Below are 13,635 nucleotides of genomic sequence, written 5' to 3'. Positions count from 1 at the left end.
CCCTCCCCCCGTCTGGCAGGATGCATTTGAAAGAGAAAGTGGCACCAGCTCCTGGCTGCTCTAGCCCCTCCCAGCCCCCCTCAGCAGGACAGGCATCTCTGGGCAGGGTGCAAACTGAACCACCATTTCCAGCTGCCCTGGAGGGGTGCTTAGAGGGGAAAACAGACCCACAGTCACACTGACAGTAGGGGCCAGCCTGCCCAGGCCAGGGGCTGCATAGCACCGAGGCCCGCATGGTGGCTGCCATGGGCCCCACCCGGTGGATTTGTCGAGAGGCTCCCAAGAGCGAATACGTGGCAAACTCTTGCCCTGACACAGTGTAAGCGCTCAGTAAATCATTGTTCTCAGGAGTTTCATCTAATGCCAGGAAAGAAAAACCAAAAACACCAAGTCCACAGAACCGACTGAGCTCCATGGAAAGGTTATTGGACTATTTACAAACGTTCTGCTTCTGTTTTATTCATTCTCATAAATATTTGGTTCTGGAATGGGGTTTTTGGTTTTTTTTTTTTGCTTTTTGTTTTTTGTTTTTTGAGATGGAGTTGCGCTCTTCTTGCCCAGGCTGGAATCCAATGGCACGATCTCGGCTCACCGCAACCTCCGCCTCCCAGGGTTCAAGCAATTCTCCTACCTCAGCCTCCCGAGTAGCTGGGATTACAGGCATGCGCCACCATGCCCGGCTAATTTTTTTTGTATTTTTAGTACAGACGGGGTTTCTCCATGTTGGTCAGGCTGGTTTTGAACTCCCGACCTCAGGAGATCTGCCTGCCTTGGCCTCCCAAAGTGCTGGGATTACAGGCATGAGCCACTGTGAGCCACTGTGCCCGGCCTGGAATGGGTTTTTAAATCTGTCCGTAGTGCACATGTAGGGAATGCAGTTCTGTGCCAGTCAGGGAACTGTGGGCTCTATGGTCTTTTTACTGAGCCCTGCAAAGCAGGCACTACTGTGTCCCGTGCTGCAGATGAGGAAACCGAGGCTCAGATAGGAGAAGGAAACTCCTGAAGGTCTTAGAGATAGAAGGCGGGAGACCCGGCACTTCTCATTAGAAGCTTCTCCTAAGGGCCTCCCACGGGAATGGAAGGCAAGCGTGCTCATCTCTGGCACTGTCTCTGCATGCTTAGACCAAGAAGCATAAACAGCACTCAGGACATTAACCGGCCCCACTCTAAGAGACCAGTCCGCTACACAAAACTCACTCTGCCGGGGGACGAGGCTTTGAGAGACTAGAGCAGGCTACAGGCAGCCCTGCGCTTGGTCAGGACTGAACCACCAGCTCTCCTCATGTAGCCCTGGCCAATTTCCAAGGTGTAAATACTCCCAGCATGGTTGATTTCAGGCAACCCACGTGAGGCCACTGAATGGGAGTGGGAAGAGATGTGGAGTAGCTTCTCTCCTGGTCATACCACACGGATGCAAAAGACATAAAACCCCAGGAGCCAAGAGAATAGCAAAACGGAGCAATACAATTGGAAAGTGATGCATTTCTAACAAGAAGTATTTCCTGGCTGGGTGCGGTGGCTCACACCTATAATCCCAGCACTTTGGGAGGCCGAGGCGGGCGGATCACCTGAGCTCAGGAGTTTGAGACCAGCAAAACCCCATCTCTACTAAAAATACAAAAAATTAGCCAGGCGTGGTGGTACATGCCTGTAATCCCAACTACTCAGGAGGCCTAGGCACAAGAATCACTTGAGCCGGGGAGGTGGAGGTTGTAGTGAACCAAGATCACACCACGGGACTCTGTCTTAAAAAAAAAAAATTCTTTCCTTTCTTTTTAATACAAATGATTTAACTGTAAGTTTATATAACTTAGTTTGTGATCATGGCTGTGTGGAACAAAACTGGCTCTCCAGAGGGGGTGCAAGCCAGTTCAGCACACAGCCAGCATCTCCTCACTCTGACGAGCCCATAGCCCTTGAGGGTCAGGGCCAAGGCTGAAGGTCTCACTCAGCGTAGGGTGAGGGAGTGGTGCCTCACGGGGAAGTCTCGACTTTGTGCATGTGGGGGCTGCTTCCTATCATCCGTAAGTCCCTGTCGAACGAAAGGGCCATGAAAGTCATAGGTTCTCCATCTTCATTTCCCAGGTGAGGACTGAGGACCAGAGAAGGGCAGCGAGTGGTCCAAGATTGCACAGCACATTAGAGATTTCACTGTGATAAGTTCCAGGCCAGGTGCTCTTCCCAGCCCTCCCTGTCCTCTGAGCCACAGGCGAACAGCCTGTCTTCGCCCAGGGCTTTCTCTGAGGCACAGTTTTTTTTTTTTTTTTTTTTTTTTTTTTTTGAGACAGAGTTTCACTCTTGTTGCCCAGGCTGGAGTGCAATGGCACAATCTCGGCTCACTATAACCTCCACCTCCCGGGTTCAAGCAATTCTTCCACCTCAGCCTTCTGAGTAGCTGGGATTACAGGCATTTGCCGCCACACCCAGCTAATTTTGTATTTTTAGTAGAGATGGGGTTTCACCATGTTGGTCAGGCTGGTCTTGAACTCCTGACCTCAGGTGATCCACCCGCCTCGGCCTCCCAAAGTGCTGGGATTACAGGCATGAGCCACCGTGCCTGGCTGGCACAGTTGTTCTGCATAAACCTCACCTATGTCTAGGCGCTGAGGAAGGAGGCCAATATCTGTTGATAACCAGGGAAAGTTTCAATTCAGCGAGGAGCCAATTCAAAGCACTTGCATCCTGACCAGTGGTGGCTACAAGTGAATCAGCTCCTGCAGCCCACCCAGGCCTGTGTTTTAGAGACTCCCCCAAATCCCCCGCGCATATCAACCCTGACCCTCCTATGTGGATGTCACAGTGCTGGCTCCTATGACATCTTGGGACATGGTGGAGATAAAATCAGATGACATATTGGCAATCTCTCTATGGTTGTAGAACCAAAGTGCTACTAACTACAGTTGAGGGTTAAATCATCCTGTTGCACCAGAGAAGAGCATGGAGGAGTCAATAAAATCTGAGAAGAGTCTCTCACCCCTCCTCAATGCCTCCCCTCTGGCCAGGTCTGGTCTCCCAAGCAGCTCTTAGATGCACCACTTCTGCCTGTGAGCCTCGGCTCATGCTGAGCCTTCTTCCAGGAATTTCCTTCCTCCTCCTAATTCCTAATCCTTCCCCAAGATCCAGTCAAGGTCTCCACCTCCTCCAGGAAGCCTTAGGTGACTACACCATCTCACATGAGCTTTCCCTTCTCCAAGCGCCTCATCATGTCACTCTACTACTCTTTCCACTTCTCGAAGTCCTCCTGTCTCCCGCCACGAGCATGTGCCGAACATGGAGAATATGAGCCCTGGAGGCCCAGATTTGTCTCAATACAGTTTCAGGCACCCCACTATGCCTGGGGTCATTAATCATTCTCCCTTCCCTCTTCTCCAGCTGGCAAACTCCTATTTATCCTTTAAAGCCACAGGTCCACTGTCCCCAACCCTAAAAACCCTGTCTGACTCTCCTGGGGAAGAGCTGCACACGCATCCCGTGCTACCACTGCAGCCGCTCATAATTCACCCACAAGAATGTACCAGGCGTCAACTTAATGGCAGGCACCAGGGGCACACATTAGTGAAACAGAACCCTGCCCTACCCCAAGGAACCTACATGCTACCCTGTTAGGCAACACCAAACAAAGTCACAATTATTTGATTGAAAGCTGCCAAGATGCACTGCCAGCTTGCTATGTTGCAAAGACGTTCTACATACTGAGACATTCAATCCTCACACAGGTGCTGTGGGTGCCAGCATTACCTTCTTGAGCCCTCTGTGTGCTGATATCGTCCTGGCTCACTCCGTCCCTGCGGATCTGTGATCTCTGGGGGGTGGGAGGAACCAAAAATGATAGCCTCCTCCACCCCATTCTCTCTCCTAGTTCCCTTCCTGCTTTATTGCTTCCTCAGCACTTGCAATCTGCACATACTAATAAATGAGATCTCTCTCATTTATTCTTTGCTGCCCCCAGCCCCCCATTGAGTTCCCCAGGCAGAGATGTGAGGCCTGTATCCCCACAGCCTAGGACAGTACCTGGTAAACAGTGGCGACCCAGACATAGTTGTGTGAAGAAATGCATCCCTCTGTCTTTTGCAGATGAGATTGCTGGGGTTCAGAGACGTCAAGCAGCTTGCCTGAGAGAAGCCACGCAGCTAATGAGCAGCAGAGCCCGATTCACACCCAGACATCTGGCCCCAGGGCATGTGTTTCTTGCCACTCACTGCCTCATGCCTTCTCTTTGTACTGCCATCGTTTGTCACCCAACTGCCTCTGCACCTCGGCCACGCCACCCTTGAGGATGGGGGCTGGTACCTCCTTTATCTTGTATCCACAGGACCCCACAGAGTGCCTTCCCCAGAGCGGTTTCTGCTAAATTCTGTTTAACAGAGTGTATTCATTCTGTTTGCTGAATGAATAAACAACCACATGAATGCATAAGTGTATTTCACAAACATTTGGTACTGATCAGGGAGACGGAATGCTCCGTTTAAATCCTGGGGTTCCGAAATGAGATGCTGTCTTTCAGGAGCAAGCATACTTTTGTAACAAGGCAAAAGTAAGGCACGATTCTTTGGCACATTTGTGATGTGTCTTTTGCCTCTTGATTCACAGATAAGGGTCCTTTTTTGGGGGTGAGCCCCATCTGCCCACCACACAACTCAGACACACACGGATAGGAAGACGCCTGCCTTGCCACGTTTTGGGGGAGCACTTACAGGAGAAGGCAGTGTCTAGGGATCGCCTCTCCTCAAGGCTGACTCCCACCCACACAGGCTGCCCCAGCCTCCCCATCCCAGGCACTTACACGGGATTTCTCGGCCAGCCTCGCAGGCAATGCCCGTTTCCAGATATTCTTGGCAGAGCCGGCGTGGAGGAGAAGTAGCAAGAGGCACAGAGCCCGGATGATCTGCCTCCTGCAGCTGCCCGGCCCCACGCCGGTTAAAGGCATTTCCTCCCTGGGCAGCGACCTTCCAGACGCACACAGAAGAGGGGCCCCCCTCGCTGCGTGGGCCTGTGAGTGGGGACAGGAGCGTGCACAGTCTGCTGGACTTTCTTAGTTCCACCCAGCAGGGTCCCTCGGATCATGTGTCCGCGTCCAGCACATGCCCCTTCCTCGATGGTGGCTGGCCTGCCCGGTTATTTTTAGCTTGCCCTATAACATCTGGCCCCAGACGCTCCAACCAGGGCGTCTGCAGCCCAGGCAGCTCAGTGGGCGGTGGCAGCAGGAGGAGGGGGCACCGGCTTGCTTGGAGACGTGGCCGGGAGTGGCCTGTCACTCTCCACTCTCCATAATGAGCACTTCCTTGCAGGCTGGGGCGGTCTCCTCCCAAGGAGGTGTGCTTGACACAGGGCTCGGGGCTGGACATGCAGGGGAGTGCAGCCGGATGGGTGGGGGCTCGGCTGCTACCTTGTTCACATTTCGAGCTGGGCTGACAAACTATCTGCCTATAAAAGCTTCTTTGAAAGAGGCTGCTGGACTGGCACTGGCCAAGGGTGCAGCCATGAAGAGACGACTTCCACCCTTGCACCCGCCGGGGTCCTCCTGCCTGATGTGGGCATGTGGGTAGTTCCTCATAGCGTGTGTTTCCTGTGAGATTTAAAAGAAATTGAGCACATAAAGCATTTCACACACATAAGTGTGCTGTCACTGTCAGCCGGTGTATCTGCACATGTGCATTTATGTGTATGCGTGTGTGCACGTGGGTGTGCATGTGCACGTGTGTGTTTTACAGGAATGTAGCACAGCGGGCTCAACATTTCACAAACTTCATATTCCCTTGTCTGTTCTCAGCACTTCCAAGACAGATACTGGTTTTTTGTTTTGTTTTGTTTTTCGAGACGGGTCTTGCTCTGTCACCCACGCTGGAGTGCAGTGGTGTGATCACAGATCACTACAACCTCTGCCTCCCGGGTTCAAGCGATTCTCCTGTCTCGGCCTTCCAAGTAGCTGGGATAACAGGCATGTGCCACCATGCCTGGCTAATTTTTGTATTTTTAGTGGAGACTGGGTTTCACCATGCTGGCCAGGCTGGTCTCAAACTCCTGACCTTAAGTGATCTGCCCGCCTCAGCCTCCCAAAGTGCTGGTATTACAGGTGTGTGAGCCACCACACCCGGCCCCAAAACAGACACTGTTTTGATGCCCGCTTTACAGATGAGGAAACAGAGGGGGCTGCCTGAGGTCATGCAACAGCAGCAGAGAGGAGGCTGGAACCCAGGTAGGTCAGACCCTGTGGCACCCCCCTAGGCGAAGCAGAAGGGACCCAAGCACTAGGCTTGACGCACCTGCCTGATCCCAGTTCAGCCTCTGCGAGATGCTGGAAAGCCTCTTGCTCATGGTCCTCAGTTCTCTCATCTGTGAAATGGGCATGTGAAAGTCTCTGCCTCTTGAGATCGATGTGGGGCTACAGGAGAGGGTGCCAGCTGTGCCCAGCACTTGCACAGAGTGAGTGCTCCAGAAAGATTGGTTCCTCCCTCCCTGGGGACCCTCACCCCCCACCTCCTGGCCAGCACAGCCTTCAGAATGCCCTGGGCAGGTATCATCAACCCCTCTTGGCCTTTTAGTGAATGACAATAGTGGCAAACACATATAGTCTGTGTAGGTCGGGTACGGTGGCTCACACTTGTAATCCTAGCACTTAGGGAGGCAGAGGATGCCTTGAGCCCAGGAGTTCAAGACCAGTCTGGGCAACATAGTGAGACCTCATCTCTACAAAAAATACAAAATAAAAAAAGTAGCCCGGCGTGCTGATGCACACCTGTAGTCCCAGCTAATTGGGAGACTGAGATGGGAGGATCACCTAAGCGTGGGAGGTTGAGGCTGCAGTGAGCTGTGATGGCGCCACTGTACTCCAGCCTGGGTCACAGAGCAAGACCCTGTATCAAAAAAAAAAAACCTTAAAAGCCATACAGTCTGTGTGTTCGGCAATGTTTGAAGCACTTCCTGCATTTTAATGCTTTTAGGTCTCATATTAGCCTTATAAGCAGGTGCTGTCTAGGATCCCATGCACAGAGAGGTTAAGACACTTGCCCAGTGAGCAATGCAAAATTTAAGTTCACCATCAGAGTCCTGTAAACCCAGGAGCCCAAGCGTGAGAGTCTTTTTACATTTTAGACCCTAGATGCCTCCTTTGCCTCCCGCTAGGCCCAGCCCTGATCATTACCTTGCCCTAGATTCTAGAATATTCCTTCATTTCTTCATCCAGAAACTACTGGCTGAGCCCTTATGGGGGCATGGTCCAGCGTGCTCCACTCCCTCTTCTTTCAGCTTTATGGGACGCAGTCTCAATGCCCCTCCCTGCAGGGCAAGGCTGCTTATTTAGAAGCCAGGAGCCACCCACGGACATGATGGAGCTGCTACCCCTACTTACCAGGACGACCTGGAACAGGTCCTGCCCCATCTCTCTGCCTCTGTTTTCTCATCTGTAAAACAGGGGTATGGAGTCAGAACTTACTCGCAGGTTTGCCATGAGGCCCAGCTGCACTTAGGCGAGGATCTAGGCTCAGCACATGCTTGCTGTTAGGAGATGAGCGTTCTGAGGCACCGCCTCCTGGGCCTCCTCCACCCGCACCCTGTTCTCCAGGCAGAGCGGAACCTTGGCCCAGGTTCCATTTGAGAAACTTCCTGCTGCTTGGAACCTGGGGCCCTGCGCTCTCCTAAGGCAGCTAACGCCTCCCATGTGGTTCTTGCTCATCCTCCATCTCCACCTTCCCCTTAAAATGTAGGCGTTTCCCATTGATGTTACAGTCTTGGCCCATTTCCTGCCTCTCTCTCTCTCTCCCTGGGTGGCCTCACTTCTGCCAACAGTATGACTCCCCTCCCTCTGGGTAGACGAGGTTCCAAATGCCCTCTCTCAGCCTCCTTGCTGGGCAAGGCGCCAGCCCTGTGCCCCTGCAGCGCCCTCCACCTGGAATGCTTTTCCACCCAGCTGCGGCACTCCTCACCCATCACCTCCTCCAGACTTTTGTTCACGTGTCAGTTTCTTGCTGTGGTCCTCTCTGACCCCAGGATTGAAAACCACCATTTGCATACCACTGGGACTCACGGTGCCCCTCTTGGTTTTATGCTTCTTCGTACTCATCTCCACCTGACATATTCTGTATTTTACTAACTTTGCTTTCTTCGTTTATCGTCTATGTCTCCACACTAGGATGTCAGCTCCACGGGGGCAGCTTCTGGGGATCTGTTTGTTCACTTTGGAATCGCCGATCCCTAAGCAGTGCCTGGTGCAAAGTAGACACTCAGTAAAGACGGTGTAATGAATGAGTTGTGCTTAACACATTTCATCTACCAGCTCGATGGCTCGACGTGGCTGTCGCTCTCTACCCATGCTTCCCTGTGAAACATGGCTGGTCTGAAATGAGATCTGTCATAAGGATAAAATGCAGACCCGATTTGGAAAACCTGTGAGTGCATGTGTCTTTATGACAGTAATGAATTACTGTCCTTTGCATATATTCCCAGTCGTGGGATTGCTGGGTTGAATGGTAATTCTACTTTAAGTTCTTTGAGAAACCTCCAAACTGCATTCCACAGTGGCTGAACTAGTTTGCCCTCCCACCGACAGTGTATAAGCGTTCCCTTTTCTCCACAGCCTCACCAGCATCTGTTGTTGGCTGGAGACAGGAAAAAAAAAATGTCAACGTTTCATTAGGAGTTTTTACGTTGGTCGTGCATTCAACTGCTAATTCAACTACTAATGTTTATGCTATATTGGGTTAAATATAATATGGTATTACATTAACTGTACCTGTTTCTTTTTGGAGACGAGGTCCCACTATGTTGCCCAGGCTGATCTTGAACTCTTGGGCTCAAGCCATACACCTGCCTCGGCCTCCCAAAGTGCTGACATTACAGGTATGAGCCACTGCACCCGGCTCCGTATCTGTTTCACATGGCTACTAGAAAATTTACAATTACACATGTGGCTTGCCTTATGTTTCTATTAAGTTTTGCTTGTCTGAGATATCAAACTCCTTCTCTAAGGTTCAGCCAAGGCCATCACTGTCTAACCAGACACCCAAGCTCAAACCTTCACTTCACTGCTAATACCTACCTTACTCCTCTCTTTATCTGGTCTCTAATTCATAATTTTTTTTTTTTTTGAGATGGAGTTTCGCTCTTGTTGCCCAGGCTGGAGTGCAATGGTGTGGTCTTGGCTCACTGCAACCTCCTCCTCCTGGGTCCCAGAGATTCTCCTGCCTCAGACTCCCGAGTAGCTGGGACTGCAGGCACCAGCCACCACCCAGCTAATTTTTTTTTTTTTTTTTTTTTTTTTTAGTAGAGATGGCGTTTCACCATGTTGGCCAGGCTGGTCTCAAACTCCTGACCTCAGGTGATCCAGCTGCCTCAGCCTCCCAAAGTGCTGGGATTACAGGTGTGAACCACCGCACCCAGCCTAATTCAGAATTTTTAAAAGTTATTATATTATGGTTTTTTTCCCCTAATAGCATAATTCATGTTTATTAGCAGAGAACTGGGAAAACAGAGGAAAGAATAAACAAAATCTTTAAAATACATACATCTAGTATCAGTATCCAGAGATAACCAACGTAGCCTTTCTTTTTTTCTATGTATATATATTAGTCATGATAGAAGTCAAGGCCAAGGCCAAAGTCATGGCTGTGGGTGAGGTCAACATGGCAACGTCAAGTAACATTAAGAACACAGACTCTGCATCAGAGAAATGCAGATCAAAACCACACTGAGATACCATCTCACACCAGTCAGAACAGCTATTAAGAAGTCATAAAACAGGCCAGGCGCAGTGGCTCACACCTGTAATCCCAGCACTTTGAGAGGACAAGATGGGCAGATCACATGGGATCAGGAGTTCGAGACTAGCCTGGCCAAAATGATGAAACCCCGTCTCTACTAAAAATACAAAAATTAGCTGAGTGTGATGGCAGGTGTCTGCAATCCCAGCTACTTGGGAGGCAGTAGAATCGCTTGAATCTGGGAGGCGGAGGTTGCAGTGAGCCGAAACCACACCATTGCACTCCAGCCTGGGCAACAAGAGCAAAACTCCGTCTCAAAAAACAAAAAGTCATAAAACAGTGGATGTTGGCGAGGCTGTGGGGAAAAGGGAACACTTACACGCTCAGTGAGAAGGCAAACTAGTTCAGTCACTGTGGAATGCAGTTTGGAGATTTCTCAAAAAACTTAAAGTAGAATTACCATTCAACCCAGCAATCCCACGACTGGGAATATACCCAAAGAACAGTAATTCATTCTATCATAAAGACACATGCACTCAAATGTTTGCTACACACTGCTGTTCACAACGGCAAGGACGTGGAATCAACCTAAGTGCTCGTCAACAGTGGACTGGATAAAGAAAACGTGGTACTTGTTCACCATGGAATACTGTGCAGCCATAAAAAACAGCAAAATCATGCCCTTTGCAGCCAGGGCTCCAATGGATGGAGCCGGAGGCCATTATCCTACGTGGCCCAATGCAGGAACAGAAAACCAAACACCACATGTTTTCACTTATAAGCGGGAGCTAAACATTGAATACATGTGAACATAAAGATGGGAACAACAGAAACTGGGGACCAGTAGATGGGAGAGGGGGGAAAGTGGACGTGGGCTGAAGAACCACCCGTTGGGTGCTATGCTTATCACATGGGTGATGGGATCACTGGGACCCCAAGGCTCAGCAGCATGTAATTTACCCGTGTCACAAATCTGCACATATACCCTTTAATCTACAATAAAAGTTGAAATTTAATAAAAGAAGAACACGGACTCTGCAGCCAGCTTGCTCGGGCACAGACACCTGCTCTGAGACCTCCCAGCTGTGCGACCATGGGCAAGTCACCTGCCCTCTCTGTTCTTTGGTTGACTCATCTGTAAAATGGGAGTAACATACCTGTCTCACAGGGTTGTCGTGAGTGTTGAATGAGTAGTATGTAGAAGACGGTTGTACATGTTCCTCTGTCCTCACTTGACCATAAATTTTTGAGGACAGGGCTGAGCGTTGTCCATCTCCGAAGCTTTCTCTGGGACATGGACAGGAACCTCTTTTAGTGAGCATTTACTATATGCCTGGCACAGTGCTGGGCTCTTGAGATCACCATCTCCACTTCTTCGTTGTGCTCACTCTGCTCTAGCTTCTTCCTTGACAGCTCCCACCCCAGGGCCTTTGCACAGCCCCCCAGTTGCTCTCTCCCCAGATACCTGCTTAGCTGATCCCTCAATTCCTTCCAGTCTGTGCTCCAATTTTGCTTTCTCAATGAGGCTTACCCCAACTGAGCTTTTAAAATCACCATCTGCCTCTTTTACACCACCCTAAATTCCCAACCCCCTTTGTCCTGCTTTCTTTTTCCATAGTTTCATCACCTTCTAATAAATTATGAAATGTACTTATTATGTTTACCACTGATGGTCTCTTTCCCTGTGGTACACAGAATCATGGGCCCTTAAAAGATGTCCACATCCTAATCCCCAGGACCTGCGAGCATGTGGTCTTACCTGACAAAAGGGACTTTGCAGAAGGGATTAAAGCAAAGATCTTGAGATGGGGAGAGTATCCTGGATTATCTGGGTGGGACCAACATAATCACAAGGGTCCTTGTAAGAGGGAGGTAGAGAGTGAGAGTCAGAGGAGATGAATGGTGGAAGTCGGGTGGGGGTGGAAGTCAAGGGAAAGTTGATTTGACACGCTACGCTGTGGCTTTGGAGATGGAGGAAGGGACCATGAGCCAAGGAATGCAGGCAGCCCCTGGAGGCTGGAAAAGTCAAAGGAAGTTCTCCCCTAGAGCCTCAGAGGGAGCACAGTCCTGCAAACCCCTAGAGTTTTCCCCAGTGGGACTCAGGTGGGACTTCTAATCAACAGAACTGTAAAATCATAGACTTGTGAACTTGTTGAGTTCGCAACTGCTAAACTACATGATGCTGAGGCTTCAGATCCCAATGATCCCGTCACCCAGGCCCTAAGCATAGCACCCAATGGCTGGTTCTTCAGCCCACGCCCCCTTTCCTCCCTTCCCCATCTAGTGGTCCCCAGTGTCTATCATTCTCATCTTTACGATCACTTGTAGTCAACGTTTAGCTCCCACTTAGAAGTGAGAACATGTGGTCTTTGGTTTTCTGTTCCTTTGTTAGGTCACTTAAGATAATAGCCTCCAGCTCCATCCATGTGGCTAAGTTTATGGTCATTTGTTACAGCATCAAGAGGAAGGTCGTACTTTGGGAGGCTGAGGCGGGCAGATCACTTGAAGTCAGCAATTCAAGACCGGCCTGGCCAACATGGGGAAACCCCATCTCTATGAAAAATACAAAAATTAGCTGGGCATGGTGGTGGGAGCCCATAGTCCCAGTTACTCGGGAGGCTGAGGCAGGAGAATTGCTTGAACCTGGGAGGCAGAGGTTGCAGTGAGCCAAGATTGCCCCACTGCACTCCAGCCTGGGCGACAAAGCCAGACCCTGTTAAAAAAAAATTAAAAATTAAAAAAAAAAAGAGGAAGGTCCTATACCCACAAGTGGGATATAGGCTCTGCAAGGTCAAGTATCCATGTCTCTTACTGCCTGCAACCCAGCGCCTCGCACAGGGACTGGGCAGCATCAGCCCTCAGTAAGTCCTGGACCGATGGACAGAATCAATGTCATCATCATGGCCCCATCAGGAATGATCCCTGTTCTATAAAGAGATGGAAGGCCACAGAATTTAGGGGCTCTTTCCAAAGTCCCAGCTAGTGACTGAACTCCAAAGTGCTTTCCTCAATATACACAGGGCGTGGTACATGAGACACTCAATAAATGTTCTTCTATTGAGCCATCCACTCCGCAGCAGTATTCAGACCACAGGGACCCAGGATGCCGAGCAGTGACCCCTCAGTTAATTTCTCACAATCATTAACTTATAAAACCACCTTCTGAAGTTTTTGAGACACGAAAGGTAACTACTCGGAGAACACAGCAGCACTGCAGGTCTTGTGTGCGAGGAGAAAAGTTCCAAGAGGAGAAATAAACACAGAACAAATCCGCCTGGGAAACCAGCTGCGTTCCTTTGATCAGTGACAAGTCAGGATCGCAGCCTGACAGCCGGGCTGGATGCTCCCAGCTGGGGCCTGATGTTGCTACCCAGGGCTTGCGTGCCATCATGATTTCAGGGCCACCACCCCTTCCCGGCTTCCTGCCAGGCTCAGAACTGTATGTCCCAAGTGGCAGAGGCCCTTCTAGTTTATCTGAGCTCTGGCAGCCTGAACTTGATCCCAACTTAGCGGGCAGTCCTCTTGGGGACTCACCAACTCATTAGTTCAACTTCCTGCAGATCTGTGGGCGAGGTTTCCTCTGGGAAGGCCTCGGAACTGGCCGGGCCTCTCATCTCCTCTGCTCTGGGGTTTGACCTCTGCTGCCCGCCAAAGGCTTCTGTCCCTCAGAAAAAAGAGGAAAAATGTTATCTTTATTTCGTTATTTATTTTATTTTATTATTTTTATTTTTTTGAGACAGAGTCTCGCTCTGTTGCCCAGGCTGGAGTACAATGGCATGATCTCTCGGCTCACCACAACCTCCGCCTACTGGGTTCAAGCAATTCTCTTGCCTCAGCCTCCCAAGTAACAGGGATTACAGGCATGTACCACCAAGCCTGGCTAATTTTGTATTTTTACTAGAGACGGGATTTCTCCATGTTGGTCAGGCTGGTCTCGAAC

General features: G+C 50.3%; 2 protein-coding genes across 5 annotated transcripts in view; both read right to left on the bottom strand.

The window, feature by feature from the left end:
• The window catches only part of WFDC1 (WAP four-disulfide core domain 1), a 34,967-nt gene extending 29,946 nt beyond the window's left edge, over positions 1-5,021 (bottom strand). For all 4 annotated transcript variants that reach the window (NM_021197.4, NM_001282466.2, NM_001282467.2 and 1 more), the window contains exon 1: positions 4,784-5,021. In NM_021197.4, coding sequence (NP_067020.2) covers positions 4,784-4,927 — 144 coding nt within the window. In that variant the 5' untranslated portion in view covers positions 4,928-5,021. The remainder of the gene's footprint in view (positions 1-4,783) is intronic.
• A 39-nt stretch (positions 5,022-5,060) lies between these two features.
• LOC124903734 (uncharacterized) lies at positions 5,061-13,348 on the bottom strand. The gene is made up of 6 exons (XM_047435022.1): positions 13,230-13,348; positions 10,853-10,982; positions 7,923-8,201; positions 7,349-7,400; positions 6,264-6,382; positions 5,061-5,566 (listed from the first exon to the last, which is right to left on the bottom strand). The coding sequence occupies exons 3-6, from the start codon at positions 7,924-7,926 to the stop codon at positions 5,061-5,063; spliced, it is 681 nt and encodes a 226-aa protein (XP_047290978.1). The 5' UTR covers positions 7,927-8,201; positions 10,853-10,982; positions 13,230-13,348.
• Between the last annotated feature and the right edge of the window lie 287 nt (positions 13,349-13,635).

The sequence above is a fragment of the Homo sapiens genome, chromosome 16 (genome assembly GCF_000001405.40).
Source record: "Homo sapiens chromosome 16, GRCh38.p14 Primary Assembly".
In the NCBI taxonomy this organism is placed as follows: domain Eukaryota; kingdom Metazoa; phylum Chordata; class Mammalia; order Primates; family Hominidae; genus Homo; species Homo sapiens.
Note: the sequence above shows the minus strand (reverse complement) of the source record. Positions and strands in the feature narration are given on the sequence as shown.